This window comes from Homo sapiens, chromosome 10 (genome assembly GCF_000001405.40).
Source record: "Homo sapiens chromosome 10, GRCh38.p14 Primary Assembly".
In the NCBI taxonomy this organism is placed as follows: Eukaryota; Metazoa; Chordata; class Mammalia; order Primates; family Hominidae; genus Homo; species Homo sapiens.
Window position 1 is genome coordinate 69342028 of NC_000010.11, and position 26829 is coordinate 69368856.

General features: G+C 47.7%; 1 protein-coding gene across 30 annotated transcripts in view, besides 4 other annotated features; it reads left to right on the top strand.

Moving 5' to 3' along the window:
* Window positions 1–26829, top strand: part of HK1 (hexokinase 1) — a 131883-nt gene that overhangs the window by 72028 nt on the left and 33026 nt on the right. For 25 of the 30 annotated variants that reach the window (NR_199805.1, NR_199804.1, XM_047425137.1 and 22 more), the window contains 4 exons: window positions 1800–1962; window positions 17870–18018; window positions 22756–22875; window positions 26509–26604. Coding sequence is in view for 25 of the 30 variants with exons in the window: in XM_047425137.1 (XP_047281093.1) it covers window positions 1800–1962; window positions 17870–18018; window positions 22756–22875; window positions 26509–26604 (528 nt within the window). In the remaining 5 variants the exon portion in view is untranslated. The remainder of the gene's footprint in view (window positions 1–1799; window positions 1963–17869; window positions 18019–22755; window positions 22876–26508; window positions 26605–26829) is intronic. The other 5 variants (NM_001441147.1, NM_001322367.1, NM_001441144.1 and 2 more) reach the window with 5 other exon arrangements.
* Window positions 1390–2243: an enhancer, noted in NCBI's record as "H3K27ac-H3K4me1 hESC enhancer chr10:71103173-71104026 (GRCh37/hg19 assembly coordinates)". NCBI's record gives its function as "activates a minimal SCP1, AML or CMV promoter by ChIP-STARR-seq in primed H9 embryonic stem cells {active_cell/tissue: H9 hESC(primed)}" and the evidence as "EXISTENCE:reporter gene assay evidence [ECO:0000049][PMID:30033119]".
* Window positions 2848–2977: a silencer, noted in NCBI's record as "silent region_2431". NCBI's record gives its function as "represses an Ori minimal core promoter by ATAC-STARR-seq in GM12878 lymphoblastoid cells {active_cell/tissue: GM12878}" and the evidence as "EXISTENCE:reporter gene assay evidence [ECO:0000049][PMID:35858748]".
* Window positions 23970–24475: an enhancer, noted in NCBI's record as "H3K27ac hESC enhancer chr10:71125753-71126258 (GRCh37/hg19 assembly coordinates)". NCBI's record gives its function as "activates a minimal SCP1, AML or CMV promoter by ChIP-STARR-seq in naive H9 embryonic stem cells {active_cell/tissue: H9 hESC(naive)}" and the evidence as "EXISTENCE:reporter gene assay evidence [ECO:0000049][PMID:30033119]".
* Window positions 24476–24979: an enhancer, noted in NCBI's record as "H3K27ac hESC enhancer chr10:71126259-71126762 (GRCh37/hg19 assembly coordinates)". NCBI's record gives its function as "activates a minimal SCP1, AML or CMV promoter by ChIP-STARR-seq in naive H9 embryonic stem cells {active_cell/tissue: H9 hESC(naive)}" and the evidence as "EXISTENCE:reporter gene assay evidence [ECO:0000049][PMID:30033119]".

The window sequence follows — 26829 nt, forward strand, 5'->3', positions numbered from 1 at the left end:
ATCCCAGCCACTCAGGAGGCTGAGGCAGGAGAATTGCTTGAACCTGGGAGGTGGAGGTTGCAGTGAGCCAAGATTCTGCCACTGCATTCCAGCCTGGGTGACAGAGATAGACTATGAAAAAAAAACCAACCCCAAAAACAAACAAACAAACAAACAAACAAACAAACAAAGGAAAAAACACCAGTGTTAAGGTCTTTTCAGCCTTGTGGGGCTGTAAATCTGTCTCTCTATCCAGTGGGAGCCTTCTGTGTGCAAGGCTCCATGTGAGGCACTGGGGAGGTCAGGGTGACACGCATGGAAAGCTGGGATCCAGACCAGACCCTGCCTAGGGGTCAGTGCTGAAGGAGTGGTGATATCCAGCCTGAAGGACTTGGACATCTTCAGGAGGAAGTGACAGTTGATTTGAACCTTGAAGGTTAGGTGAGCTGGGAAGAAAAGGAAGGGCATTTCAGGTAGAGGTGACAGCAGAAGGAGGAGAGCCTGGAGCACCTACTAGGAATGGTAGAGGTGGTTTGGCCGGAGTTCAGAGAGCACAGAGCCACACCTGCAGAGGGTAGGTGCCTTGGCAGTGGGGAGGCATTGCAAGGCTTTGGGCAGAGGCATGACTTGATTAGGGTTGCACTTTAAGAGGCTGATGCTGCAGTGGTGTAGAAGATGGGTTGGAAGGAAGAGATTGAAGATAAACTGTTACAGTGGATCATCAGCAATCCAGGCACACAGAGCAGCAGAAAGAGTGGATGGTGAAACAAAAGAACCTTCCTCGGTGGACTCTACAGGGATAGTGCCATCAGGACAGGTGTCTAGCTCAATTCTAGGCACCTAGCTGGTGCCCAGTGAATCCTTTTTTGGGAGAATAAATGCGAAGATGCCATGAAGGACAAACAATTAGTGATAGCCAGTGACAACCCAGGGTGCCTAAGGTTAGGAGCCTGGGCAGCTTGAGGAGAACGGGGAACTCAGGAAGAGGAGCAGGTTGGGTCAGGCCTGGTGAAGGGTGGGAGTAGTTTGACTCGGAGGTGCAGGGCCCATGGCCTGGCACACAGGCCCGGCACATGGGTATGGGAGCCCAGGGGCTGTCTCCATTCATTGAGGCTGGGTTTAAGGTTTCTGTGCTCTGGGCCTGCCACCCTGTGTTCTCAGAAGGGTCCTAGCCCTTTGGCCGCCATTTCTGTCTTTCTAGAAGTCTTGCCCATGGACACCTGCCAGTACTACTGTCTCATGTTAATAATAATAGCTGATGTTTATTGAGCAGTTACTGTGTTCTAAGTGCTTGTGTCTCATTTGAACTTGTCCTATATGTTAGGTCCTATCTATCATCTCAGTTTTTCAGTTGAGGAAACTGAAATTCACACAGCTGTTAAGCTCTGGGGCTAGGATTGAACCCAGTTGGCTGGCTCCAGAGCCCTTGTTCGTAGCCTCTCTGTCATTCCCATCCCAGTGAGAGTGAGCCAGCCAATTCTCAGAGAGAGAAGGAGGCTTGAGGTGTTCCTGATACTGGAGGAAACCTACCTCCATCAAGTACTTGGGGGTTGAAGAGCAGCTTCCATGTCATATTTGAGGGTTGGAAAGGATCTTAGAGATATCGGGTTCATTTTACAGGCCAGGAACTAGGGCTCAGAGCATTTGCAAGCCTGTTCTGGGTGACATGGATGACAGCAGTTGAATGACCTTCCGCCATGCGATGTGCCAGCGTGCGTGTTCCTGTGCCTGTGGGAGCTGGCTATCTCAGCGGGTGGGTGCCTCACCTTGCCCTGTCCTCCCCCTCGACCTCACTCTCCTTCCTTCTCATCCCCCTCCAGATTGACAAGTATCTCTATGCCATGCGGCTCTCCGATGAAACTCTCATAGATATCATGACTCGCTTCAGGAAGGAGATGAAGAATGGCCTCTCCCGGGATTTTAATCCAACAGCCACAGTCAAGATGTTGCCAACATTCGTAAGGTCCATTCCTGATGGCTCTGGTAAGTCTGTCACCCAGAGATTGAACCCTGAGGGCTAAATGTTCTGTGAAATCTTCCTTCTAACTTCATTTGTTCATACATTTGCTCATTCATTCATTCACCATTCCATCAATCTGCTCTCCCATCCATCCATCCATCCATCCGCTGATCCATCTGCTGATCCATCCATCCATCCATCCATCCGCTGATCCATCCATCCAATATGTGTCTACTGAGACCTTATGCCAGTCACTGGGGATACCATGGTTGGGCAAGGCTGACCTGCTGTCATTGACTTTACTGTCTAGTGGCTTGTGATACTTTAGAAAGTGTAGTGTTTATGGGTCTCGCAGATACTGTGTGGGTTGCTCTTATGTCTTCAGAACATGAAGAACTCCAGAACAAATGAAGGGTTCATTTTAGGGAAATCTCTCCATCAGGGAATCAAAGCTTCCCTCTCTTCTTATCCCAGATAATAGCAATCCTAATGGACAGGTGGGTCTCAGACTTAAAGGCAGAGATTCCAGACCCCCTTTGGACAGATTTCACAGATGCAGAATTGAGGCAGCCCCCAAAACAAAGAAATACAGAGGGGAGGTAGAATTGAAAGAAAAATTGTATCCTTTCACTCTGCATCCTGTGGCTCATACCCTGCAGTGGGGCGTTGGGGGAGGGCCCCCTGAGGATTGTCTGTTTCTCCTCCCCAGAGGAGTGGTATCAGCCCCTGCACCTGGCTGAGCGGAGACTGAGAAGTCGCAGTCTGGCCTGCTCAGTGGAAGCTGTTCTTCCCGGCAGACCCGCAGTTACTAGTTTGTGGAGGTGAATGCTGTGCTTGCTCCAGCGTGGCGCCCTCACAGGAATCCCCTGTTAGCTGTGTTCTGTGCTCTAGGGTGGGGCTCACCTGCTGTAGGCAGCAGAGGGAGGGAGAGCAGGAGGAAGTCAGGTTTCCCTTGGGGTTGTGAGTACACGACCAGTGAGTACAGCTTTCACACACCCCTGCGATTTCTTCCCTGCTCTCGAGGCTCTTATTTAAAGGAGTGATTTGGGGCATCTTGTATGCAGCCTGCAAAATGGACGCCAGGAAACTGCAGCTGTTGCAACTGATGTTCTTGAAAGATGGGCAAGTGGGAGTAGGCTGGTTGCAGCAGGAAAAGACCTCTGCTCTCTGCCTGCAGTCATCCTGAATGAGATTTGGACGCTGATAAAGAGGCCTTGTGCTGTTCACTGTGGCCACGGGTGGGGTCTACTTCATGCTCACATATTAGCATGTATATCTCTGATGTAAGCCTACTCCACCTCCACCCTTTTGTTTAGGTGTTGATTACTAGCACCTACTTCTAGCTTTTTAAGAACTACTGAAGAGATTCTGGCCATCAGAGTGAATAGACTGTGGTCTACCCTGGGTGTGTTCGCTTGTCTCTGGCTGGAGAAGAAAGAACTTTATATATAGTTCACTCTTGCTTTTTCCCAGCCATGGATGTCACCTACAGCCAGGAGCACTGGAACCTTTCCAGGATGAGGAGAGCTATGTAGCAGAGGCATGGCTCTGACTGCTTCCAGCTGAGAGAAGAGGAAGGAGCGGGGAGGGGAGGGGGTATGGGCAGCACCCAGGAGAGCACCTGCTTTGGCTTTGCTTGGGAGAGCTCAGAAGGCTACCTGATCCCTGCGAGGCACCTGGCCCTGTGTGACTGGCTCAGGGCAGACACAGGGGAGGAGACACTTTGCCTCCTACCCACTGGGCCCTGCTCTCAAGCCAGCTGTGTCCCAGGGACCTATGTCAGCAGGGGTGCTCTCCCTCTCCTTCACAAACTGTTTCCAGGATTGAGAGTCTCAAGGTGTGATCCAAGTGCAGTAGAAATCCAGCCATTTGCCATATTGGCTACTCCTCCAAACAAGGCTTAGAACTCATACTCATTTGTGAAATGTATTTTTCACCCCCTTTTAGAGATTCATAGAAACGGCACCCCCCCATTCCAAATATTTATGGGTGGGTTCAGTTCATGTGCCCCAGAGCCCACACTTCGCTTGCAATGGTCCCTACAGCCCCGCAAAGACATTGCTGTTGATGCTAAGGACTTGGATACCCAACCCCCAGTCCACTTCCTGCCCCTTCGTGTTGTGCCGGGCTTCTGTCTTCACCTCCCCCTGCCTCTTGGCTCCTTTATCATCCAAGAATCAGGAGATCCCTGCAGTAATCAGAATCTGGGTCTCTTAATAGTAAATCCATAGTGCTGTTCCCTTTTTGAAATGTTAATCACTGCTTCAACTGTAGTAATTAGTGACAGAATTAGTGGTAATCCCAAACCACGGAGGGATAAATTGGCGCTCACCATGGTGGAGCAATGCCTAAGTGGTGATGTGATTTCCAAGGCAAAGGAAGGAAACAAGCCTTTCCTTTCTTGCTGACCTTGACCCTGGTCGACTAGACACAGAGTTTTGGAACTCAACTGACTTTCCAGAAGCATTTCTGAAAACATATCTGATACATACATTCTGATACCTATCAGCCCATTTTTAATTAGTTTCTTTCTTTTTTGGTCATTTTTTTTTTAATGGGCAGTGAGGTTTTTGTTTTTGGTATTTTGTAGAGATAGGGTTTTGCCATGTTGCCCAGACTGGTCTTGAACTCCTAGGCTCAGGCGATCCTCCCACCTCCCAAAGTGCTGGGATTACAGGCGTGAGCCACCTCACCTGGCCTGTTTTTATTTTTATTTTTTAGTTGTTCTTCAATAATCTGTATATCATTAAAAAAACCCCAAAAACCTAAAGTGGCTTTTTGCTGCTGCATATCATTTTTGAGGTAGTGGATGAATGAATAATAAAGAAGGAAAATATTGAAGCCTCTTAACATTGGTGATTTGGCTAAATAGAATTCCCTCTTCAAAGCTACTGTAGGGAGCAAGGGAAAACGTCCCCTTTGCCCTCTGAATGTTGGCTGAAAAATCAGCTCACAAAAGGCAGATTAATAGGAGAAAGGGCATACACATTTATTAACATGCATGTGGGAGAATCACAGACTGATTACTCAAGTATCCCGGTGGGGCCCAGATACTTACATTTCCTCTTTTCTTTTCCTTTTTTTTTTTGAGATGGAGTCTTGCTCTGTTGCCCAGGCTGGAGTGCAGTGGCACGATGGTTCAAGCGATCCTCCTGCCTTAGCACCCCCTACGTAGCTGGGATTATAGGCACCTGCCACCATGCCCAGCTAATTTTTGTATTTTTAGTAGAGACGGGGTTTTGCCATGTTGGCCAAGCTGGTCTCGAACTCCTGACCTCAGGTGATCCACCCGCCTCGGCCTCCCAAAGTGCTGGGATTACAAGTGTGAGCTACTGCGCCCGGCCACACATTTCCTCTTTTCAGAGGGGAGGCAGGAGACAGGGAACAGTAAATGATTACTAGGGAGAATGAAGATATCAGGGAACAGAGATTAACCAGTACCGGTTCTCTTTGGAAATTGAATAGGAGACAGATTTTTTTTTTTTTTTTAAGACAGTCTCGCTCTGTCGCCCAGGTTGCAGTGCAGTGGCATGATCTCGGCTCACTGCAACCTCCGCCTCCCGGGTTCAAGCAATTCTCCGGCTTCAACTTCCTGAGTAGCTGGGATTACAAGTGCGCACCACCACGCTGGGCTAATTTTTGTATTTTTAGTAGAGACGAGGTTTCACCATGTTGGCCAGACTGGTCTCGAACTCCTGACCTTGTGATCTGCCCGCCTTGGCCCCTCAAAGTGCTGGGATTACAGGTGTGAGCCACCACGCCCGGTTTAGGAACAGACATCTTTAAAAAGGTCCATTCAGGTGTGGTCAGATTCTTCAGTCTTCTTTTCTGCAATAGATAATGAGATAACAGGGAGGGTAAGGATAAAGTTCTCCTTGGAGGGTCTGCGTGGTCTTTATGCAGATAGGAGAAAAGCATTTTCCAGCATCTGTTGATCTTTAAGGGCCTTTAGTTCAAAATACTCATTATACCAGGGAGCCATATTTTGGGGTGAAGTATTTTGGGTTTCCCTCACTACCCAGTCTCTTGGGAATTGCTGTCCCTCTGTGCCCAGCCTCCCCCATTCGCGAAGTGTCCCTTTTTTCTCCTTTTCTCATTTATCCCTAAGGATATTGTAAGCACTAATTAGAGTGTAAGCTTTTGGAGGCTAAATAGGAATCGATACTTCTTGGTTTCGGCTTCATTGTTCCTACACAGCCTTTACCCAAAAGAGAAGTTTTTACCCAAAGGAGAAGTAAAAAAAAAAATTTTCTAGAAGCTTGGATGTGCCATTATCTTTTTTCATGCAAAGCAGAGCCATTTACAGTGTAGTCACGGTTGTTTTGGGGCCCTAAATATTCATACTACTGTTTTCCAGTCAACGGAAGGAAAATATTTACCTTCTCTTCTTGCAGCATTTGGGTGGTCTCAGTTTTCTTATATGGAAGGATAGTTGGGTTATCTCAAGTATTCTCTCTATCTGTGAAACCTCCTGAGTTGAAGGCGTGGAGTTCCCATCATGCAGCTGGATTGTAGATGGGCAGGAATGCCTGTGTATCTCATGTACAGAATTAATTCATTGAGGCTGGGCACGGTGGCTCATGCCTGTAATCCCAGCACTTTGGGAGGCCGAGGCAGGCGGATCACCTGAGGTCAGGAGTTGGAGACCGGCCTAGCCAATATGGCGAAACCCCGTCTCTACTAAAAATACAAAAATTAGCTGGGCATGGTGGCCGGTGCCTGTAATCCCAGCTACCTGGGAGGCTGAGGCACGAGAATCACTTGAACCTGGGAGGCAGAGTTGCAGTGAGCTGAGATCACGCCACTGCACTCCAGCCTGGGCAACAGAAACTCTGTCTCAAAAAAAAAAAAAAGAAGAATCAATTCATTGAGCTGGACTCAGGCAGGCATTTCCCGCAGGCAGAGTTTTTGCTTGCCCTGTATTCCAGCACAGGCTGGTACTCGAGACACATCTGTCCTGTGTTTGTTTTCCATTATTTGCTGGTAATAATGGCTGTCATTAGAAAGTGGAGAATTGCCAGTAGCCCTTCGGATGTGTTGTTTAATGAGCTTTCTCTTGAGCGGTTCTCCCAGCTTCAGTGGAAATGAGAAATGTGAGGAAAGGTCACAGGCAGGAGGCCCCAGTAGCAGGAAGCAAGGTTTGAGACCAAAGATTGAAAGAGGAAGTTGGGAGGAAACCTATTACTGCAGAAAGAGGCTGAGCTTGTAGCCAAAGAGAAAAGGAAATAAAAATCTAGAACACTGAATCGGTCTCTGGGTTTGCCACTCCCAACCTGTGTGACCTTGGAGAAGCCACTTAACTTCTGAGCCTCCATTTCCTCATGGGTAAAATGGCCATGGTAATCCCTGCCCCACCTGCCTCACCAGGCTATCATCAGGATCAAATGAGAGTCTTTGGAAACTGCAAACCACCGTGAGTTATGGTGCGTCATCGTCATCCTCATCAGTCTTATGATATAATAACTGGCTTTGGAAGAATTCCTTGGGAAAGTCTTTCCTAACCAATGGAGCCAGTCCAAGGACCGCACCCAGCAGGCCTGAATGTGTAAGCCGAGCCCCTGCAGGAAGGATGCAGAGTTTTTCAGGATTCGCTGGCATCTCTGTGATGTTACAGGGGAAGGAGGCAGAGAAAAGGGGCAAGCCAAGGCAGGCTGTCTCACCCCCAACCCCTGAGCTAGCCACATAAAATGTGGGTGAGACCACAGGCTACAGCTCCAGTACCTCTGCAAGGGGGTGACTGGACACGACAGCTCTGAATCAGGGAGCCAACCCGAGGTAAAAGGGACTGATAGGTCCCTTTTGTTATGGAGGGCAAGTGGGTATTTGGGGGATTCATTTCCTGACAAAGAATATTGAACTAACCTGGAAACCTTCTGGTTGTAGCTGAAGGAAATCTGACTCAAATTTGTTTAAGAAAAAAAGAGAATTCTAGTTTCCTATAACTGGGAAGTCTCGCTGTGAGTTGACTTCTGTATCTAGGGATTCATCTGTCTCTTACTAGTTCAGTCAGCTCCTTTCCTGTGTGTTGGCTTCATTCATAGGCCATCTCTCCTCTTACAGTGGCAGGGACGGCCCCTGCAGCCCTAGGCTGACCCCTCCCCTTATAGCCAGCGATCTCTGTGCAAAGAGCAGGCCTTGCTCCCCATGGACCTGTGATGGTCTTGGAGAGGGCTGTGATTGGCTTACTTGGGTTATGTGCCCATCCTGAACCAATCACGATGGACAAGATGGGTGACTTGGGATGCCCCTGGATCCCATGCCTGGATTACGCATTGGTACCCCTGGAGCTGGAGTGGGGATTCAGCCCCACTTCCAACCTCATAGGTGAAAAATGGGAGGGTAGTTATCTAAAGAGATGCTGGACATCCAGGAAAGTTTATCAGTTATCTTGTTGTCCTTAACAGACATCATTCCTCAGTGTCTTTTGCCCGGCAGCGTATAGGACCAGCACTTTGGGAGGCCGAGGTGGGCGGATCACAAGGTCAAGAGATCGAGACCATCCTGGCCAAAATGGTGAAACTCCGTCTCTACTAAAAAATACAAAAATTAGTTGGGCGTGGTGGTGCATGCCTGTAGACCCAGCTACTCGGGAGGCTGAGGCAGGAGAATTGCTTGAACCCGGGAGTTGGAGGTTGCAGTGAACCAAGATTGCGCCATTGCACTCCAGCCCGGGCAACAGTGTGAGACTCCATCTCAAAAAAACAAACAAACAAAAACATGAAATAAATAAATGTTTAGGTGAACATTAAAACAGCAAATTAATTAAGTAAAATATTAAAATAAAAAGTACCGATCATTTCATCTCAGTGTAGTATTTGCTTTTGTGCCCCTTTTCCCCCTATGCACAAGTGGTTTATAGTTGTTTATCAGACTGAGCTTTCACTGTCTTCATTAGAGAATGAAGCAAAATAAAACCAAAGCTGGCCGGGCGCCGTGGCTCACGCCTGTAATCCCAGCACTTTGGGAGGCCAAGGCAGGCGGATCACGAGGTCAGGAGATCGAGACCATCCTGGCTAACACAGTGAAACCCCGTCTCTACTAAAAAAAAAAAAAAAAAAATTAGCTGGGCGTGGTGGCGGGCTCCTGTAGTCCCAGCTACTTGGGAGGCTGAGGCAGGAGAATGATGTGAACCTGGGAGGTGGAGCTTGCAGTGAGCCAAGATCACGCCACTGCACTCCAGCCTGGGCGACAGAGCGAGACTCCGTCTCAAAATTAAATAAATAAATAAATAAATAAATAAATAAATAAAACCAAAGCTAGGCCAGGCACGGTGGCTCACGCCTATAATCCCAGCACTTTGGGAGGCCAGGGCAGTCGGATCATCTGAGGTCAGGAGTTTGAGACCAACCTGGCCAAGGTGGTGAAACCTCGTCTCTACTAAAAATACAAAAAATGAGCTGGGCGTGGTGGTGGGTGGCTGTAATCCCAGCTACTGGGGAGGCTGAGGCAAGAGAATCGCTTGAACCCCGGAGGCGGAGGTTGCAGTGAGCCGAGATCGCGCCATTGCCGTCCAGCCTGGGCAACAAGAGTGAGACTCCGTCTCAAAAACAAAAACAAAAACAAAAAAAACAAAACAAAAAAACCCAAAGCTATAAGGAATCATGGAAGTTGAAGAGCCCCAGAAAAGAAGTGTAGCCATTCCTGATGTGCTGAAGTCTCTCTCTGGCCCCCACTTTCCTTGGGGATCCTTGTCCCTGAGTTCTGTCCAGGAGGCAGTTTTCATGGTTATACATTATGGCTTCGGATTCAAATGCTGACTCTGCCACTTACTGGTTGTGCGTTTGGGCAAGTTATCTAACCCCTCTTTACCTTTACTTGCTCATCTGTAGAATGGGCATCCTGACAGTACTGACTTCATAGGGTTGTGAAGATTGAAAATAAAAGGATACGTATAAGCACTTAGTGATTGGTACAGAAAGACTCAGTGAATGTTAGCTGATGGATGGTCAAATAAAATGTTTCTGATATTCTAGTGACTCACCTGCGAGGAGCTACTTCATACTGAATTCAATTTTTTCAGTTATTTCAATTTTTTTTTTTTTTTGAGACAGAGTCTTGCTCTGTTGCCCAGGCTGGAGTGCAGTGGCATGATCTCGGCTCACTACAACCTCCGCCTCCTGGGTTCAAGCGATTCTCCTGCCTCAGCCTCCTGAGTAGCTGGGATTACAGGCACCTACCACTACACCCAGCTAATTTTTGTATTTTTAGTAGAGACAGGGTTTCTCCATGTTGGCCAGGCTGGTCTCGAACTCCTGACCTCAAGTGATCCACCCGCCTCAGCCTCCCAAAGTTCTGGGATTACAAGCATGAGCCACTGCGCCCGGCTGAATTCAATTTTTTAACCTAGTGGTGGTGTAAAGTACTGTTGGAGTTAGGACTCCAATGGGAGCCCAAAGAAAATTCTATATTGATTTGAACAATGCCACAAAGTCGGGGTCAGAATTTCCACCAAATCTATGACACCTGCTTCCCAGCATTCTCCCTTGTTCTCTCTCTTTCCTTTGGACCACAAATAATTTAAAACCAGTGGCTTCATGTGATATATACATATAATGGAATATAATCGGTTCATAAAAAGGAATGAGGTACTGATCCACGCTACAGCATGGATGAGCCTTGAAAACCTTATGCCGGGTGAAAGAAGCCAGACACAAAGGACCTAATATTATACAATTCCACTTATATGAAATGTCTGGAATAGGGGCATCTGTAGAGCAGAAAGTACATTAGTGGTTGCTGGGAGATAGGGAGGTTGGGAGGAAATGGTGAATGGTTGTTAATGGGTATGGAATTTCTTTTGGGATGATGAAAATTTTCTAAAATTAGATAGTGGTGATGGTTGCACAACTCTGTAAATATGCTGAAAACCACTGAATTTTTCACTTTAAAATGGGTAAAAATTGTATGCTATATTATTATATCTCAATAAAACTGTTATTAAAAAAACAACCAACCAATATGTGAAATAATAAGAAATATACATGTTGGTCTCTGCCCCTAGTCTCTAGCATTTAGCTTCTAAAACCCTTGTAATTTCTTGAGCAATACAGGTGCTAGGAGAATCTTTGATCCTGGTCCTGACTCAGAGCTCCTAAATCCCTTGGAATTTCTTGGGTGATAGGAGAGTCTCTTTTGTTCCTTGGTGGGACCCTGGATAGCCTCAGGATGGGGGGCTGGTTGCCAGGGGGAACCAACCATGTGATCAGAGGGTTGCTGTCAGCCCCAACCCCCATGCCGCCTCCAGGGAGGGAGAGAGCCTGAAAATAGAGCGAATAAACCAATGGTCGATGATTTAATCAATCGCAACTGTGTAATGGTGCTTCCACAAAAACCTAAAACAGGCCAGGTATGATGGCTCACGCCTGTAATCCCAGCATTTTGGGAGGCCCAGGTGGGTGGATCGCTTGAGCCTAAGAGTTTGAGACTAGCTTGGGCAACATGGTAAAACCCTGTCACTACACAAAATACAAAAAAAAGTTAGCCAGATGTGGTGGCACGTGCCGGTAGTTCCAGCTACTCGGGAGGTTGAGGTGGGAGGATCGCTTGGGCTCTGGAGGTTGAGGCTGCAGTAAGCTGTGATCATGCAACTGCACTGCACTCCAGCCTGGGTGACAGAGTGTGACCCTGACTCAAAGAACAAACAAACAAAACCAAAAAAAAAAAAAAAAAGCAAAAAGAAGAAAACCTAGAATGACTGAGTTCTGGTAGCTTCTGTCTAGCTGAACACATGGAGGTTCCTGGGTGGCACATCTGGAGGGGGCATGGAAACTCCTGCCCTTTCTCCCATGCCCCTCCCTGTGTATCTCTTCCATCCAGTTCTTCATCTGTATTTATTGTAATATCCTTTATAGTAAATATGTAAATGTAAGTGAAGTGTTTTTTCTGGGTCTGTGAGCTGCCGTAGCAAACTAATGCAACCCAAGGAGGGGGTTGTAGGAACCCCGATTTATAGTGATCAGCCAGAAGCACAGGCCACAACCTGTGCTTGTGACTGGTGTCTGAAGTTGGAGGGAGGGCAGCCTCGTGTGAACGAGCCCTCGACCTGTGGGATATGATGCTATCTCCAGGTAGCTAGTGAAATAATTGAATTGAATTAGAGAGCATGGAGCTGGTGTTCACTGGAGAATTCACTGCAGAATTACTTGCTTGGTGTGTGGGGAAAAACCCACATGCATCCAGGGTCACAGGTGTGTTCTGTGTTGTGGTGAGTAGAGAAAAGGAAAAACATACTCTGGTTTTTCCTCTGTGTGTGTCTCACATGATGGCGTAACTGCTTTGTGCTTAATAAACAGCAAGCAGGGGTGCTGTATTAGTCCGTTTTCATACTGTTAAAAAGAACTGCCTAAGACTGGGTAATTTATAAAGGAAAGAAGTTTAGTTGACTCACAGTTCAGCATGGCTGGGGAGGCCTCAGGAAACTTACAATCATGGTGGAAGGAGAAAAGGCATCTTCCTCACAAAGCGGCAGGAAGGAGAAGTGCTGAGCGAAGGGGGAAGAGCTCCTTATAAAACCATAAGGTCTCATGAGAACCCACTCACTATCACGAGAACAGCATGGGGGGAACCACCTCCATGATTCAGTTACCTCCACCTGGTCTCTTTCTTGATATGTGGGCATTGTGGGGGTTACAACTCAAGATGAGATTTGGGTGGGGACACAAAGCCTAACCATATCAGGTGCCTTGAATGAATGAATGGACCACCAGTCCCTGTGACCAGGCAGCTAATGAGCATTTGCTGAGCTGTCCTGGGTGCCAAGGACAGAGAATCCCAAGTTGTGGTCTTTCCCTCAAGGAACTTGAGAACGAAGATAGGAACAGGCTGGGCGCAGTGGCTCATGCCTGTAATCCTAGCACTTTGGGAGGCCAAGGCAGGTGGATCACCTGTGGTCAGGAGTTTGAGACCAGCCTGACCAACATGGTGAAAACCCATCTCTACTACAAAATACAAAAATTAGCCAAGCATGGTGGTGGACACCTGTAATCCTAGGTACTCGGGAGGCTGAGGCAGGAGAATCACTTGAACCTGGGAGGCAGAGGTTGCAATGAGCCAAGATCACGCCATTGCACTCCAGCCTGGGCAATGGAGGAAGACTCCCTCTCAAAAAAAAAAAAAAAAAAAAAAAAGATAGGAACAGTGACATTCAATGTGAGAATTCCTTGGTTTGTTGTTTATTTCTTTATACCTTCATTAATTCCACAAGTATTTGCTCAGTTTTTACCTACATTCCAAACACCATTGTAAGTTCCAGAAATATAGCAGTGTGTCAGGGCTTATAGCTTGGTAGAATCAAATACAAAGATAAGTCAGCTTTATTGTTAAAAACAGAAAGCAAACCTTATTTTGTGTTGAAAATCAAAAGCTCAAGGGACCCAGAATAACCAAAGCAATCATGAAAAAGAAGAACAAAGCTGAAGGAATTTCACTGCCAATTTCAAAATTTTCAGCAAAGCAACAGTAATCAAGACATGTGGTACTGGCATGAAGGTAGACATGCAGACTAATGGAACAGAATAGAGAGTTCAGAAATAAATGCATACAGGCTGAGTGTGGTGGCTCATGCCTGTAATCCTAGCACTTTGGGAGGCCGAGGCTGGTGGATCACCTGAGGTCAGGAGTTTGAGACCAGCGTGGCCAACATGGTGAAACCCCGTCTCTACTAAAAATACAAAAAAATTAGCCAGTTGTGGTGGCACACGCCTGTAATCCTAGCTACTTGGGAGGCTGAGGCATGAGAATTGCCTGAACCCGGGAGGTGGAGGTTGCAGTGAGCCGAGATCATGCCACTGCATTCCAGCCTGGGTAGCATTCCAGCCTGGGTAACAGAGTGAGACTTTGTCTCGAAAAAAAAAATAAATGCATACATTACGGTCAATTGACTTTTGACAAGAATGCTAGGACTATTCAATGAGGGAAAGAATAGTCTTTTCAGCAAATGGTGCTGGGACACTGGATATCCACATGCAAAAGAATGAAGTTTGACCTACACCTCATACCATATATAAAATTAACTTGAAATGGATCAAATACCTAAATGTGGGAGCTAAAACTAATAAAACTCTTAGAACGAAATACAGGTTTGAATCTTTGTGACCTTGGATTTGGCAATAGAGTCTTAGCTACAACTCCAAAAGCACAAACAATAAAAGAAAAAACGTAAAACTGGACTTCATCAAAATTTAAAACTTGGCCATGCTTGGTGGCTCATGCCTGTAATCCCAGCACTTTGGGAGGCCAAGCAAGAGGATCACTTGAGCGAAGGCATTTGAGACAGCCTGGGCAACATAGTGAGACCTTGTCTCTAAAAAAAATTAAAAATTAGCCAGGTGTGGTCGTATGCCTGTAGTTCCAGCTACTTGGGAGGCTGAGGCTGGAGGATTTCTTGAGTCCAGGAGGTCAAGGGTGCAGTGAGCCATGATTGCACCATTGTACTCCAGCCTGGGCAACAGAGCAAGACCCTGTCTCAAACACAACAACAACAAACATAAAATGTTACTGCATCAAAGGATACCATAAAAAAAAGAAAAGACAATCCACTGAATGGGAGAAAATATTTGCCAGTCATATGTCTGATAAAGGATTTGTATCTAGAACATAAAAAGAACTTTTACAACTCAACACATAAAAGACAAATGAGGCCGGGTGCGGTGGCTCACGCCTGTGATCCCAACACTTTGGGAGGCCGACGCAGGCGGATCACAAGGTCAGGAGTTCGAGACCAGCCTGGCCAACATAGTGAAACCCCGTCTCTACTAAAAATACAAAAATTAGCCAGGCGTGGTGGTGCACGCCTATAATCCTAGCTACTGAGGAGGCTGAGGCAGGAGAATTGCTTGAACCCGGGAAGCAGAGGTTGCAGTGAGTCGAGATTGAGCCACTGCCCTCCAAGCTGGGCAACAGAGCGAAACTCCATCTCAAAAAAAAAAAAAAAAAAAAAAGGAAAAGATAAGCCAAGTGTTTAAAATGAGCAAAGGATCTGAATAGACATTTCTCCAAGTGGCCAATAAGCACATAGAAATGTACTCAACACCATTAGTCATCAGAGAAATGCAAATTGATAAAGAAGTCAGACTGTAATAAGTGTTGATGAAGACATGGAGAACTGAAAACTTCATGCATTACTGGTAGGAATGTAAAATGGTGCAGCTGCTTTGAAGAATGGTGGTAATTCCTTGAAAAGTTAAACATGGGTTACTATTTGACAGCGATTCTTGTCCTAGGTATATATACCCAAGATAAATGAAAACGTGTCCACACAAAAACTTGGGCACAAATATTCATAGTAGTGTTATTCATAATAGCCAAAAGGTAGAAACAAACCAAATGTCTGTCAGTAACAAATGAATAAATAAAATGTGTTATATCTATAGAGTGTAACAGCCATTAAAAGGGATAAAGTCTCATATGCACTATAACATGATGAACCTTAAAAACATTTTGCTTAGTGAAATGAGCCAGTCATACAAGGTCATATACCGTATGATTTCTTTTCTTCTTTTTTTGAGACAGGGCCTCGCTCTGTTGCCCAGGCTGGAGTGCAGTGGCGTGATCTCAGCTCACTGCAACCTCTGTCTCTTGGGCTCAAGAGATTCTCCTACCTCAGTCTCCAAGTAGCTGGGATTACAGGCTCACACCACCATGCCCATCTAATCTTTTTTGTGTTTTTGGTAGAGACAGGGGCTCGCCATGTTGCCCAGGTTGGTCTCAAACTCCTGAGCTCAAGCGATCCACCTGCCTCAGCCTCCCAAAGTGCTGGGATTACAGGCATGAGCCACCGCACCTGGCCACTGTATGATTTCATTGATATGAAATGTCCAGAAGAGGTAAATCTATAGCAACAGAAAATAGATTAGTGGTTGCCTAGGGCTGGAGAAGGATGAGGGGCTTGGGAGGTGATAGTTAAAGGGTATAGGGTTTCTTTTTGAAATAATGAAAATGTTATAAAATTGGCTGTGCTGATGGTTGCATAACTCCGAATATACTAAAAACCATTGAATTGTATACTTTAAATGGGTGAATTATATGGTATGTGAATTAAATTTCAATAATGCTGTTACATAAGATATAATGATAAAGATCTTTCCCTGCCTAGGAAAATGATATGCCCCAAAGCAGTCTAGTATTTACTGCCATAGGATTGAGAGCTTGGTGGATCATGTGCTGTGGAAGGCAGGGGTGGCCGTCACCCCTGGCGTGGTAGATATTAGGACAGTGGGGATGTCACCTTAGCATCACGAGTGAAACATATCTTAACTGATTTTTCTGGGAGCATCGTGAGGATAACTAATGAGATGAAGGGTAGAGAATGTTTGGCTGTGGCTTAATGGTTGGAACTTTGCCCATGGCCGCCTGCCTTTGCTGTCCGATGGTCTCAGCCTACAGTCCTGCTCTGCCCCCTGAGGCCCACCCCAGTGCTGCACATGTCACTCCCGAGGGAGGTAACCATAGCAGACCAGTACTTTGGCCACTGGTACTTTTATGTGACCAAGAGGGACTTCTGTTAAAAGCATCCTCTGGGTGGAAACAACCCAAGGGTCCATCAACAGATGAAAGGATAAACAAAATGTAGTGGATCCATACAATGGAATATTATTCAGTCTTAAAAAGGAATGAGGCTGGGCACGGTGACTCACGCCTGTAATCCCAGCACCCTGGGAGGCCAAAGCGGGTAGATCACCTGAGGTCAGGAGTTTGAGACCAGCCTGGCCGACATAGTGAAGCCCTGTCTCTACTAAAAATAAAAAAAATTAGCCAGGCATGCTGGCGGATGCCTGTAATCCCAGCTACTCGGGAAGCTGAGGCAGGAGAATCACTTGAACCTGGGAGGCCAAGGTTGCAGTGAGCTGAGATTATGCCTCTGCATTCCAGCCTGGGCAACAAGAGCGAAGCTCTGTCTCAAAAAAAAAAAAAAAAAAAAGGATGAAATTCTATTGGGGGCAGGGTGGCTCATACCTGCCTATAGTCCCAGTTACTTGAGAGGCTGAAGTGAGAGGATCTTGGGAGCCCAGGAGCTTGAGACTGCAGTGAGCTTTGATCACACCACTGTACTCTAGCCCAGGTGACAGAGCAAGACCCTGTCTCTATTAATTAAAAAAAAAAAGAGTAAAATTCTGAAAATATGGATGAACCTTGAAAACGTTATGCTAAGAGGAATAAGCCGGTCACAAAAGGACAAATAACTGTGTGATTCTTCTTGTATGAAATATCCAGAATAGGCAAGTTCATAGAGACAGAGAGTAGAATCGTGGATGCTGGGGACTGAGGGTGAGGGGAAATGGAAATTATTGCTTAATGGTTATAGAGTTTGTGTTGGGGTGATGAAAAAGTTTTGAAAATAGTGGTGATGGTTGCACAACATTGTGAATGTACTTAATGCTACTGAATTGTACGCCTGAAAATGGTTGCAGTGGTAAATTTTATGCTATGTGTATGTTACCACAATAATAAAACACAACCCTGAGGAGTAAGCAGAACCCTGGAATAATTGATGTCAGAGCTGACATGCAGAGACCCAGGGCAGGCACTGGGTGGACCTCAGATGTAGGGCTTTGTCTGAGTTGAAATGCGGTGTGATTTTTTATTTCTGCATAGCAGTGCTGTTTTTGAAATAGGTTAAGAAACTAGAGAAACATGGGGTGGGAATTTGTACTTAATTCAGTACTTCCATTCCCCTATAGTCAGAAGTAAGAGACTGGGATTGCTTGAAGCTATTTCTGTCTAAGGACTCTGGGGTAGGATAGGGTTTCTTTTGCCTACTCTGCGTATATGGCAGTGGTTGGATGAAGTTTGCATGATTGCTGCTTTCTGGCTGATAACAGCATGTGGCAGGGGGAGGCAGACAGGGCCTACGCCCTGCCAGGAAGCGGGCATGGTATGTGGCTTCCCCTTAACATTTGAATCTCATGTGATACCTGTTGTCTCCCTAAACAGAAAAGGGAGATTTCATTGCCCTGGATCTTGGTGGGTCTTCCTTTCGAATTCTGCGGGTGCAAGTGAATCATGAGAAAAACCAGAATGTTCACATGGAGTCCGAGGTTTATGACACCCCAGAGAACATCGTGCACGGCAGTGGAAGCCAGGTGGGTCCCTGCTCCCTCCGGGTCACCCCGTCGGGCCAGCATCCCCTTGGTTACCTCCAGGAACCAGGCCTCAAAGCACTGGCATCCCAAGCCCCTGGAAGAGGGTTGCTGGAAAGAGTCCCTCATAGATGCATATGTAAAAGGACTCCTGGGCAGAGGATGTGACAGCCTGCATGGGGGCCCTGCTTAAACAGAGGCTCTCCGTCTGGGCAAACTGGTGTAGTGGAAGTGGGCTGCTTGGACTAGCAGAGTCTGGGTTTGAGGAGGGAGGCTCCGCAGCTCTGTTGGGTAAATGCACTCATTCCCTGTGGATCCTGGGGTCGGTTCCCCAGTGCAGGTTTAGCAGAGCCCTGGGTGAAAATGCCCTTTTCTCCTGGTCATTGGCCTCACCCACTTACTGGAGGCCCCGGCCTTGTAGGGTATGGCTGTGGCCTTGTCGGGCAGGAATGAGGTCTCACAGCTCTGGGCTATTTGGGGGCTTCTTGTTACCTGATTTAGAATACCATTGCACAAGCCCTTGGCACAGAAAGCAGAGGAAGCAGGGAAATCACGGTCCCCTCCTTTTACACTCCTGTTGGGGCTCCCCACGCTGGGCCCCCAGGAAGGGCTGCCCTTCCTCCCTGCCCAAGGGGCTGTGGGCATGCCTAGGAAGGGCCTGTCCACCTGCCCCCTCCTCTCTGGGTGCGGGGAGTGGTGGGTCTGTAGCTCACTGAGGACCCTGTGATCAGGGCTCAGGCAGCCCACTGCAGGTTTTCAGTCATTTCTGGGTCCCTAAGCCCGTCGTGGGGCAAGGTGCACTCCTCCTCTCTCCTGTAGACATTCTGGCTCCTCCAGTCTGGCTCGCCTCCTGAGTTGTGGCTGCTGTCCAGCATATGTACTCAGAGCTGGCCAAATGTTTGCTTTAAGGAGGGTGTGCTCACCGCAAGGTTCATGACTAAGATTTCCAGGGAACTCTGGTTCTGGGGTGGACTTCGAGATGAGACCCAGGAGCCTTCTCTTGACTCTACTGTGCTCTTAAGTTCTTGTGGGTGGGACCTGGAGCAAGCCACCAAGCCTTTTCTTTGTCCAAGAGACAAGGGCTAATCCTGGCTAACCTGCTCCCTGGGATTTGGGTTCAGAGCCCTTCAGATTATGTCACAGTGAGTGTCACAGGTGACACTGTCACTAGAGCAGGTGAGCCACTTTATAGTAGGCCACCAAAGCTGGGTGCATCACTACTGGATGGCCCTGCCCAAGGGCTCCCCTGCTACTCCCATTACTGGGGCTGCAGAGACTGGCCCATCCATCTGGCGCCTGCACAAAGGCTGCCAGCTGGTAGGTCTCTTGACCATGCCCAGTTGGCTGCTGCATTGCTTCTCCTTGCAGGTGGCCAGCAGCCCATGGTTTGGCATCCTGCACTTTCTGTTTGGAACACACACTGGCCTATCACTCTGTTTCCCAAGGTCCTTGGGTTGAGCTACCTAAGCCTGGCGCATTCAACACTGAGACTCACCCTGTGCTGCAAACATTCCCTGTGTGTTTTACAAACATTCCCTGTGTGTTTTGGCTTGACCTTTTAGGAGCAAGGTTTGTTAATTAAGGGAGTACCCTCACCTTCTTACCACTGCCCTCTTCGTCTCTCCCAGCCTCTATCCCCATCGTCCCCTCTTCTCAGTCCTAGAATCACTTTATTTCCTACTGTCTCTGTTTCTTCCTCTCCTCCTTTTAAGCAGCCTGAAAAGAGGATGATGACGATAATCATGATAATGTAGTACCATTATAGCAAATTCTTTTTTTTCTTCTTTTTTTTAAGACGGAGTTTTACTCTTGTTGCCCAGGCTGGAGTGCAGTGGCGCGATCTCAGCTCACCACAACCTCCGCCTCCCGGGTTCAAGTGATTCTCCTGCCTCAGCCTCCCAAATAGCTGGAATTACAGGCATGCGCCACCACACCTGACTAATTTTGTATTGTTCGTAGAGATGGGGTTTCTCCATGTTGGTCAGGCTGGTCTGGAACTGCCTGTTCAGGTGTGAGCCACCACACCCAGCCCAGAGCACTTTTAAGCTTTAATAAATTCAGAAGCACAAATGGAACATTCTTAAAATATCACTTACTTAGTTGTGGGAATTTTGAATAGTAAATGTTTTAAGTTTTTGTATTAGCCATCATTTGCCATCTTTAATAAGAGTGACTGAGTCTTTATTTTTATTTTAAATTATTAAAAAAATTTTTTTTTAAAGATGGGATCTTGCCAGGTTGCCCAGGCAGATCTCAAACTCCTGGACTCAAGCGATCCTCCCACTTTAGCCTCCCAAAGTGCTGGATTATAGATGTGAGCCACTATGCCTGGCCATAGTGTGTGTATTTCTCAAATAAAGAGTGTGTTGTCAGGCAAGAAGAGAAAATAATGTTTTTTTTTTTTTTTTTAAGACACTAAAGCTTTGAGTTCAGAGCGGTTAGGTGACTTTTTTTCCTGGTTGATCGCAGACATAGTCTAGCCTGGGGCGGGTCACTTCCTGCCTCTTTGGGCAGGCTTGTCACCCTGGATCACCAGCACTCCAGAAACGGCCTTTCCTTCTCAATGGTGCACTCTGGGGAGTTGTGTTTGGCCTGGATCCGGGAACTGGTGACAGGTCCCATTCATGGGAATCCATTTGAGTTCTGCCCCTTCCTGAGGCAGCCTTCCCTTCACCCGGCCTTCTCTCCCGAGGCTGCAGGAGAGTCTGGAGCCTCCGAGTGCAGATGGCGTGGGGCGCCAGGACCAACTTAGTAATGAGTTTATATCAGTCTGCAATGTAGGTCGCAGGAAGCTTAGCCGGCTTCTCTGGGGAGGGTCATGTGTCAACTCAGCCTAAGATGCCAGCTGCTCTGCAGCCTGAGTAATAGTGACTCAGGGATAGAAGGTCCTACATTAAAATTGACCAGGCGTTCTATTACTCTGGCAACAAAGTCCGACTTTAGAGCTGGCTTGGGGGGGATCTGGGGAAAGATGGGAACAGCAGTAATGACTTCTGGCCCCCTCATGAGGCCCTGCAAGTAAAGCCTTCAGGCAGCTGGCCTTGTCTGGGAGTTCGGGCTGGGGCCACTTCATGTGACTATGGTTTGGCTCTCCTAAGACAGCCTTCTTCTGGGTTCCAAAAAGCTCCATGGCTGTGTCACTGCCATGTGTAAGGGAGGTCTAGTGTCATGAGAGTCATGTGAAAGAGACAAGGGGTTAGCTAGGCTGTGGCATGGCTGCCAAAAGTGTATATATATACGCTCAGGTTGGATTACTAGAGGCAGAGAGATAAAGAAGGGAGGTTCTTAGTTCTACTAACCACTCTTCTGGTTAGAACACACATAGAATATTATCTTCTGTTCTGATTATATTTTGAGACAGGGTCTCACTCTGCTGCCCAGGCTGGAGTGCAGTGGTATGATCATGGCTCACTGTAGCCTCGACCTCCTGGGCTCAGGGGATCATCTCATCTCAGCCTCCCAAGTAGCTAGGACTACAGGCATGTGCCAGCATGCCTGGCTAATTTTTAAGCTTTTTGTAGAGAGGAGGTCTCACTTTGTTGCCCAGGCTGGTGTCAAACTCCTGGGCTCAAGTGATCCTCCTGCCTTGGCCTCCCAAAGTATTGGGATTACAGACGTGAGCCACCATGCCTGGCCCTGGTTATATTTTAGAGATGAAGGGAATTATTAGAGAGATCCAAAAAGATTACCTTAGAGGTGTTGAGCCTCTCCTCATGGGCAGTATTCATGTAGAAGCTAGGGACCCAGTGTTCCAGGCTCTTTCTAGCAGATTCCTAAGATATGTATGTACCTGATAAGTCATAGATAACATGTTATAGCACAGGCAAGCTTAAGCTACAGTGCGGTAGATAAATTGTGGTATATTCATACCAAGGAATACTGTGCGGCAATGAGAATGAACAGTTGTCAAAGACAACTCCGTGGATGACTGTCATCCACATGGTGTCGAGTGAAAGAACACAGACACCAAAGAGCACACACGGTCTCATTTCCCTTTAGACACACCAAACAAACAGGCAGATGTAACTGAGGGTGATAGACGTCGGGGTGGCTGGCAGTTGCCCTTGGGCTGGGTGGTAGCGGTAGTGACTGCAGGGGCAGAAGGGGGCATATTACAGGTGTTTCTCCATCTCGTGTTTCTCCATCTGGGTGCTGGTTACATGGATAGCTGCAGCTTGTGAGAATCCAGTGAACTCTGCACTTAGGATGTGTGTACTTTTTGGGGTATGCATAAGACACTTCAGTAAAAAGTAACATTATGACAGTCTGAATTGTTAAGTCACTCCAGTGGGCTAGAGGCTGTGGAATTGCCCTCAGAGTTTCTGAAATTTTCAGAGAGCGTGGCGTCGGGCGGGGCGGGAAGGCCACTCCACCTGGTGGCTGGTGGAGATCCGTGACCTGTGTGTTATGAAGGCATAGCTGGTTTTCTATTATTTTTCCATTTTTCTCAGTACCCAGATGTTGCATATTAGTGACCACTGAGAGGCCAGTTCTGTTGAAGGCTTTGAATTGCTTCTTAAGAGCTGTACTTGCCCACAGGGTAGCTTTTGAAAAGTGACTCTTCTCTGCATTCACACACAGCATGGCTTTTCAGACAGGGCCACCAGGTCCCAGGAGTACGAGCACTTTGTTTGGGTAGATGTATTCCTTTCTGTGTGTGTGGGAGGGAATGGTTTATATTTTTCTATGAAATGCTAAGCCTGCTTTGGGGCCCCCTGACTGCTCTCATGTTTCCTTCAGCTTTTTGATCATGTTGCTGAGTGCCTGGGAGATTTCATGGAGAAAAGGAAGATCAAGGACAAGAAGTTACCTGTGGGATTCACGTTTTCTTTTCCTTGCCAACAATCCAAAATAGATGAGGTAAGGATGTTCTGGGATTATCGGGCTCTGCAGATGCCCCGGGATGGAAAAGCTAACAAGCCCTTTTCTCCACAACTTTTCCCCTTTGTTGGCAGAATGGTTTGCATGTCTGGTATTTTTAAAGAAACATTTGCAGAAGTTAGTGTGGTATCATGATATAGTGTTTACTTTTTCACTTAAACTTCAGTTATTTATGTATTTTTGGAGACAAATCAGGGTATTTTTGGCCACCAGGTAGACAGAAGCATTTATTAATCTTAGGCAAGCAAAGGAAAATAAAGTAGTTTTAATGGTGGTGGAGAGAGGTGGGAAAGCTCTTTGCCAGAATTGCATGGTGTGATGTTTACCTGGAAACTGCCCTGGTTACTGCGAATATGCTCAGGGCCCTGTCCCTCAGGTGCCAGGGCTGCCTCTCCATAGTGGAGCTGATCAGTGGCTCCAGCCCCAGGGATGCCCTTGGCGACCTCCGAGGTGACTTGTTGTACCCACCTTCCTGTTTGTCATCTATTTGTTTTTTCATTCGTTCATTCATTCAGCAAGGATGGACTGTGATGATAACACTGAACTTCAGCACTGCAGGAATACAAAATAAATACATACAGCCTTGTTCTTTTTTTACATGGAAAGACAGAAACCACACACACCACAAACACAAACCACCCATGAATAAACTTCTAATAATATGAATTCTGGGGTTGGGTGCAGTGGTTCATGCCTGTAATCCCAGCACTTTGGGAGGCCGAAGCAGAAGGATCACTTAAGTCCAGGAGTTCAAGACCAGCCTGGGCAATCTGTACAAAAAGTTAGCTGTGTGCGTTAACATGTGCCTGTAGTCCCAGTGATGTGGGAGAAGCTTGGGAGATCGAGGCTGCTGTGAGCCATGATTGTGCCACTGCACCCCAACCTGGGGGACAGAGTGAGACCTTGTCTTTTTTTGTTTGTTTTTTGAGACAGAGTCTCCCTCTGTCGCCCAGGCTGGAGTGCAATGGCACGATCTCGGCTCACTGCAACCTCCACCTCCCAGGTTCAAGCAATTCTCCTGCCTTAGCCCCCCTAGTGCTGGGATTACAGGTGCCCACCACCATGTCCGGCTAATTTTTGTATTTTTGGCAGATATGGGGTTTCACCATCTTGGCCAGGCTGGTCTCAAACTCCTGACCTTAGGTGATCCGCCTGCCTCGGCCCCTCAAAGTGCTGGGATTACAGACGTGAGCCACTGCACCTGGCCAGGCTCTGTTTTAATACATACTTCACAGGTATTGCACATAATCTTCAAGCATCTCTATGAGTTAAGTGCTTATGATTCCCACTTTACAGATGAGGAAACTGAGTCTCAGAGGGGCTAAGAACCTGTCCAAGGTCACCTAGCCAGGAAGATTCCATGCTCGTAACTGGTCTACTCTGCTGCAAGTTAGTAGCATTTGGGCTCAGGGCACCTTCCACACTTGCAGGGAGCACCCCTGGGTCCCTTTATGCCATTAGGGTAAGCGTCCTTTCCTGGGCACTGCTTCCTGTGGCTGGAACCCTTACATCTGTAAAATCTGTGGAATCAGCAAGAAGGGGCTTGAGAGCACAGCAGGCCAAGATGAGCGCAGAGGTCTCCCCAGGGTCACAGGGCTTATTAATGGCAGGCCTTGGACCAGGGTCCCAGGCCCCACCTCCCATCCAGTGCTCCACCCACCTCCAACATGTCTAAATGCCTCCGAGATGTTCTGTCTGACCTGTTATGCTTTCAGGAAGCTGTGGCCATATGTAGACTCTTAATCTGGTTCTGGTATCTGAGAACGCCCCTCCAAGGTGTTCAGATCAGTTTGGCCTCCACTGTGTCCTTCCAAACCCTTTGGCAAGGCCTGTTTTCAGTACAAGTTTCCCTTGGCTTTTGAGAACTGAGACATGACAGTCACTCCCCCTTCCCCTTCCCTTGTGAGAGGTGGGCCTGGAATGAAGAGACTTTGGTGGACTGCGTTTCACCGTTGTTTACATGTGCTCTCTGCAGCTATTGACTGAGTGCCATCCCTGTGCCAGGCATGGGCTAGGCCCTGGGAGAGAATGGCCAGAGTGTATTTATTTTGTATTCCTGCAGTGCTGAGGTTTAATGTTACCGTACAGTAGGTCCCGTAACAGCAGATGTAGCCTGTTCCCCATGAAGGTGCAGCCTTCTATGGACAGAAGTGTTGCAGGAGGTGGGAGGGAATGACTTCCTGGGCACGAGAGCCTGCAGGGTGGAGCAGACATGCCCAAGAGGGGGCATTGTGAACAGAGAAGGAGCCAGAGGTGGGGGGTGTCCACCTGCCAGCCTTCACCCCCTCTGGAGAATGCTTCCTAGGCTGGGCCAGGGTACTTGCTGTGGCGCCAGTGGAGCACAGACCCTCAATTTCCCATCCAGAGGCCTGTGCATGTTACCCCTTAGGGCTGGCTGAGAACTTCAAGATTGTCCACTTCTAGATCAGCTCCCTGTTTCTAGAGGAGCACAGTGAACCTCAGAGGAGTGAAGGGAACTGCCCAGCAGGAAATGGGCAGACAGTATGAAGTGGGACCAGGTCTCCAGATTGCCAGCCCCACCTTTGTCCCACAACACCTGGTTCTCTGAGGCTTTGGAGGAGGAAGAGGGCTGCTTGAGAGGAGGCAGATAGTGTCCAGGGCTTTTGCAGTTCCTGACTTAGCTTAGTTGCTGCTGAGCAAAGAACCACCAGTTCTCATCAAGGGCTGCCCTCCCTGGTGCATACTCCAGTCTGTGTGGCTCCCACCGTGAGCTGGGGCGGGGCCCATGTGCTCAGAATGCTATCCCTGAGCTACCTCTGCAGGCCTGCGGGGCCTGGACCGTGAATCTTCCAACCCTGCTGCATTTATAGTGACTTGCCCCATTCAGAGTAAAACAGCCAAGTATAACAATTATTTTTCTGTTCTCATATCTTTTTAGTTTTTTTTTAAGAAAGCAAAAGCAATATGTAAAACTATCAAAGTAAGATAAAATTATAGAATGTTTACCATTGGATGTCTATCCTTGATGTTTCTCTGCTAATATGCAAAGTGAAATAGGATCATACTGTGTAAATAGGGGAGTCACCACTTACAAATGGCGGTTAAGTCCCAAAGCTGGTGAAGAGGCACAAATCATGTATAGTCCACATCATTCCCTAAATGTCTGGGACCTGGCTCTTAAAAGCTCAGCAGCCAAGAATTATCTTAGCATTTTGTTTCTTTTTCCAATTTGGCTCTGGCTTTCTTTTCCCAGGGCTGTGGAAGCCGGGGTCTGGTTGGGAAGTGGGGAAGGGGGCCAGGGATTTCTCTTGCTCCCTTTTAAAATAGGTCTGGCTGCGCAGTTGGCATCCAGTTAGATTGGCAAGCCATGTGGCATTACTGTCCCCACATCCACTTGCTTTCTTCTGGAGTGAACTGGATATTGTGAGCAGGTTTCTCCCCACCCTATCTTTGCCCCCAGAGAAGCCCATTGTGTGGATGATCGGGAGATGGAAATGAGTCTGGGCCCCTCCCCAAGCCCAGTGTGATCTGGGAGGAGCCACTTGGCCCCTATGGGCTTCTGCTTCATCCCTGTCCTGGAGCAATGCCCAGGGCCTTGGGGTGCTGGAGGCCTCCCAGCCCTCATCCAGCCCCATCCATTCTTCTTTGCAGGCCATCCTGATCACCTGGACAAAGCGATTTAAAGCGAGCGGAGTGGAAGGAGCAGATGTGGTCAAACTGCTTAACAAAGCCATCAAAAAGCGAGGGGTAATTTCTCCTGGGCCCTCTGCCTCAGCCATGCAGGGGTGTGGGGAGCAGGGCTGCATTCTAAAACAGACCAGTGCCCTTCCTGGGGGGCAGTAGTGCCAAAGCCTGAAGACCCAGGCAGGGGAGAGTTGAGGGCTCACAGTGTGGAATGATGAGGATGGGGATGGTGCAAAGCCCAGCTCTCGGAGGTGCTGCCTGGAGCACCCAGGCCTGGAGCAGGGGGTC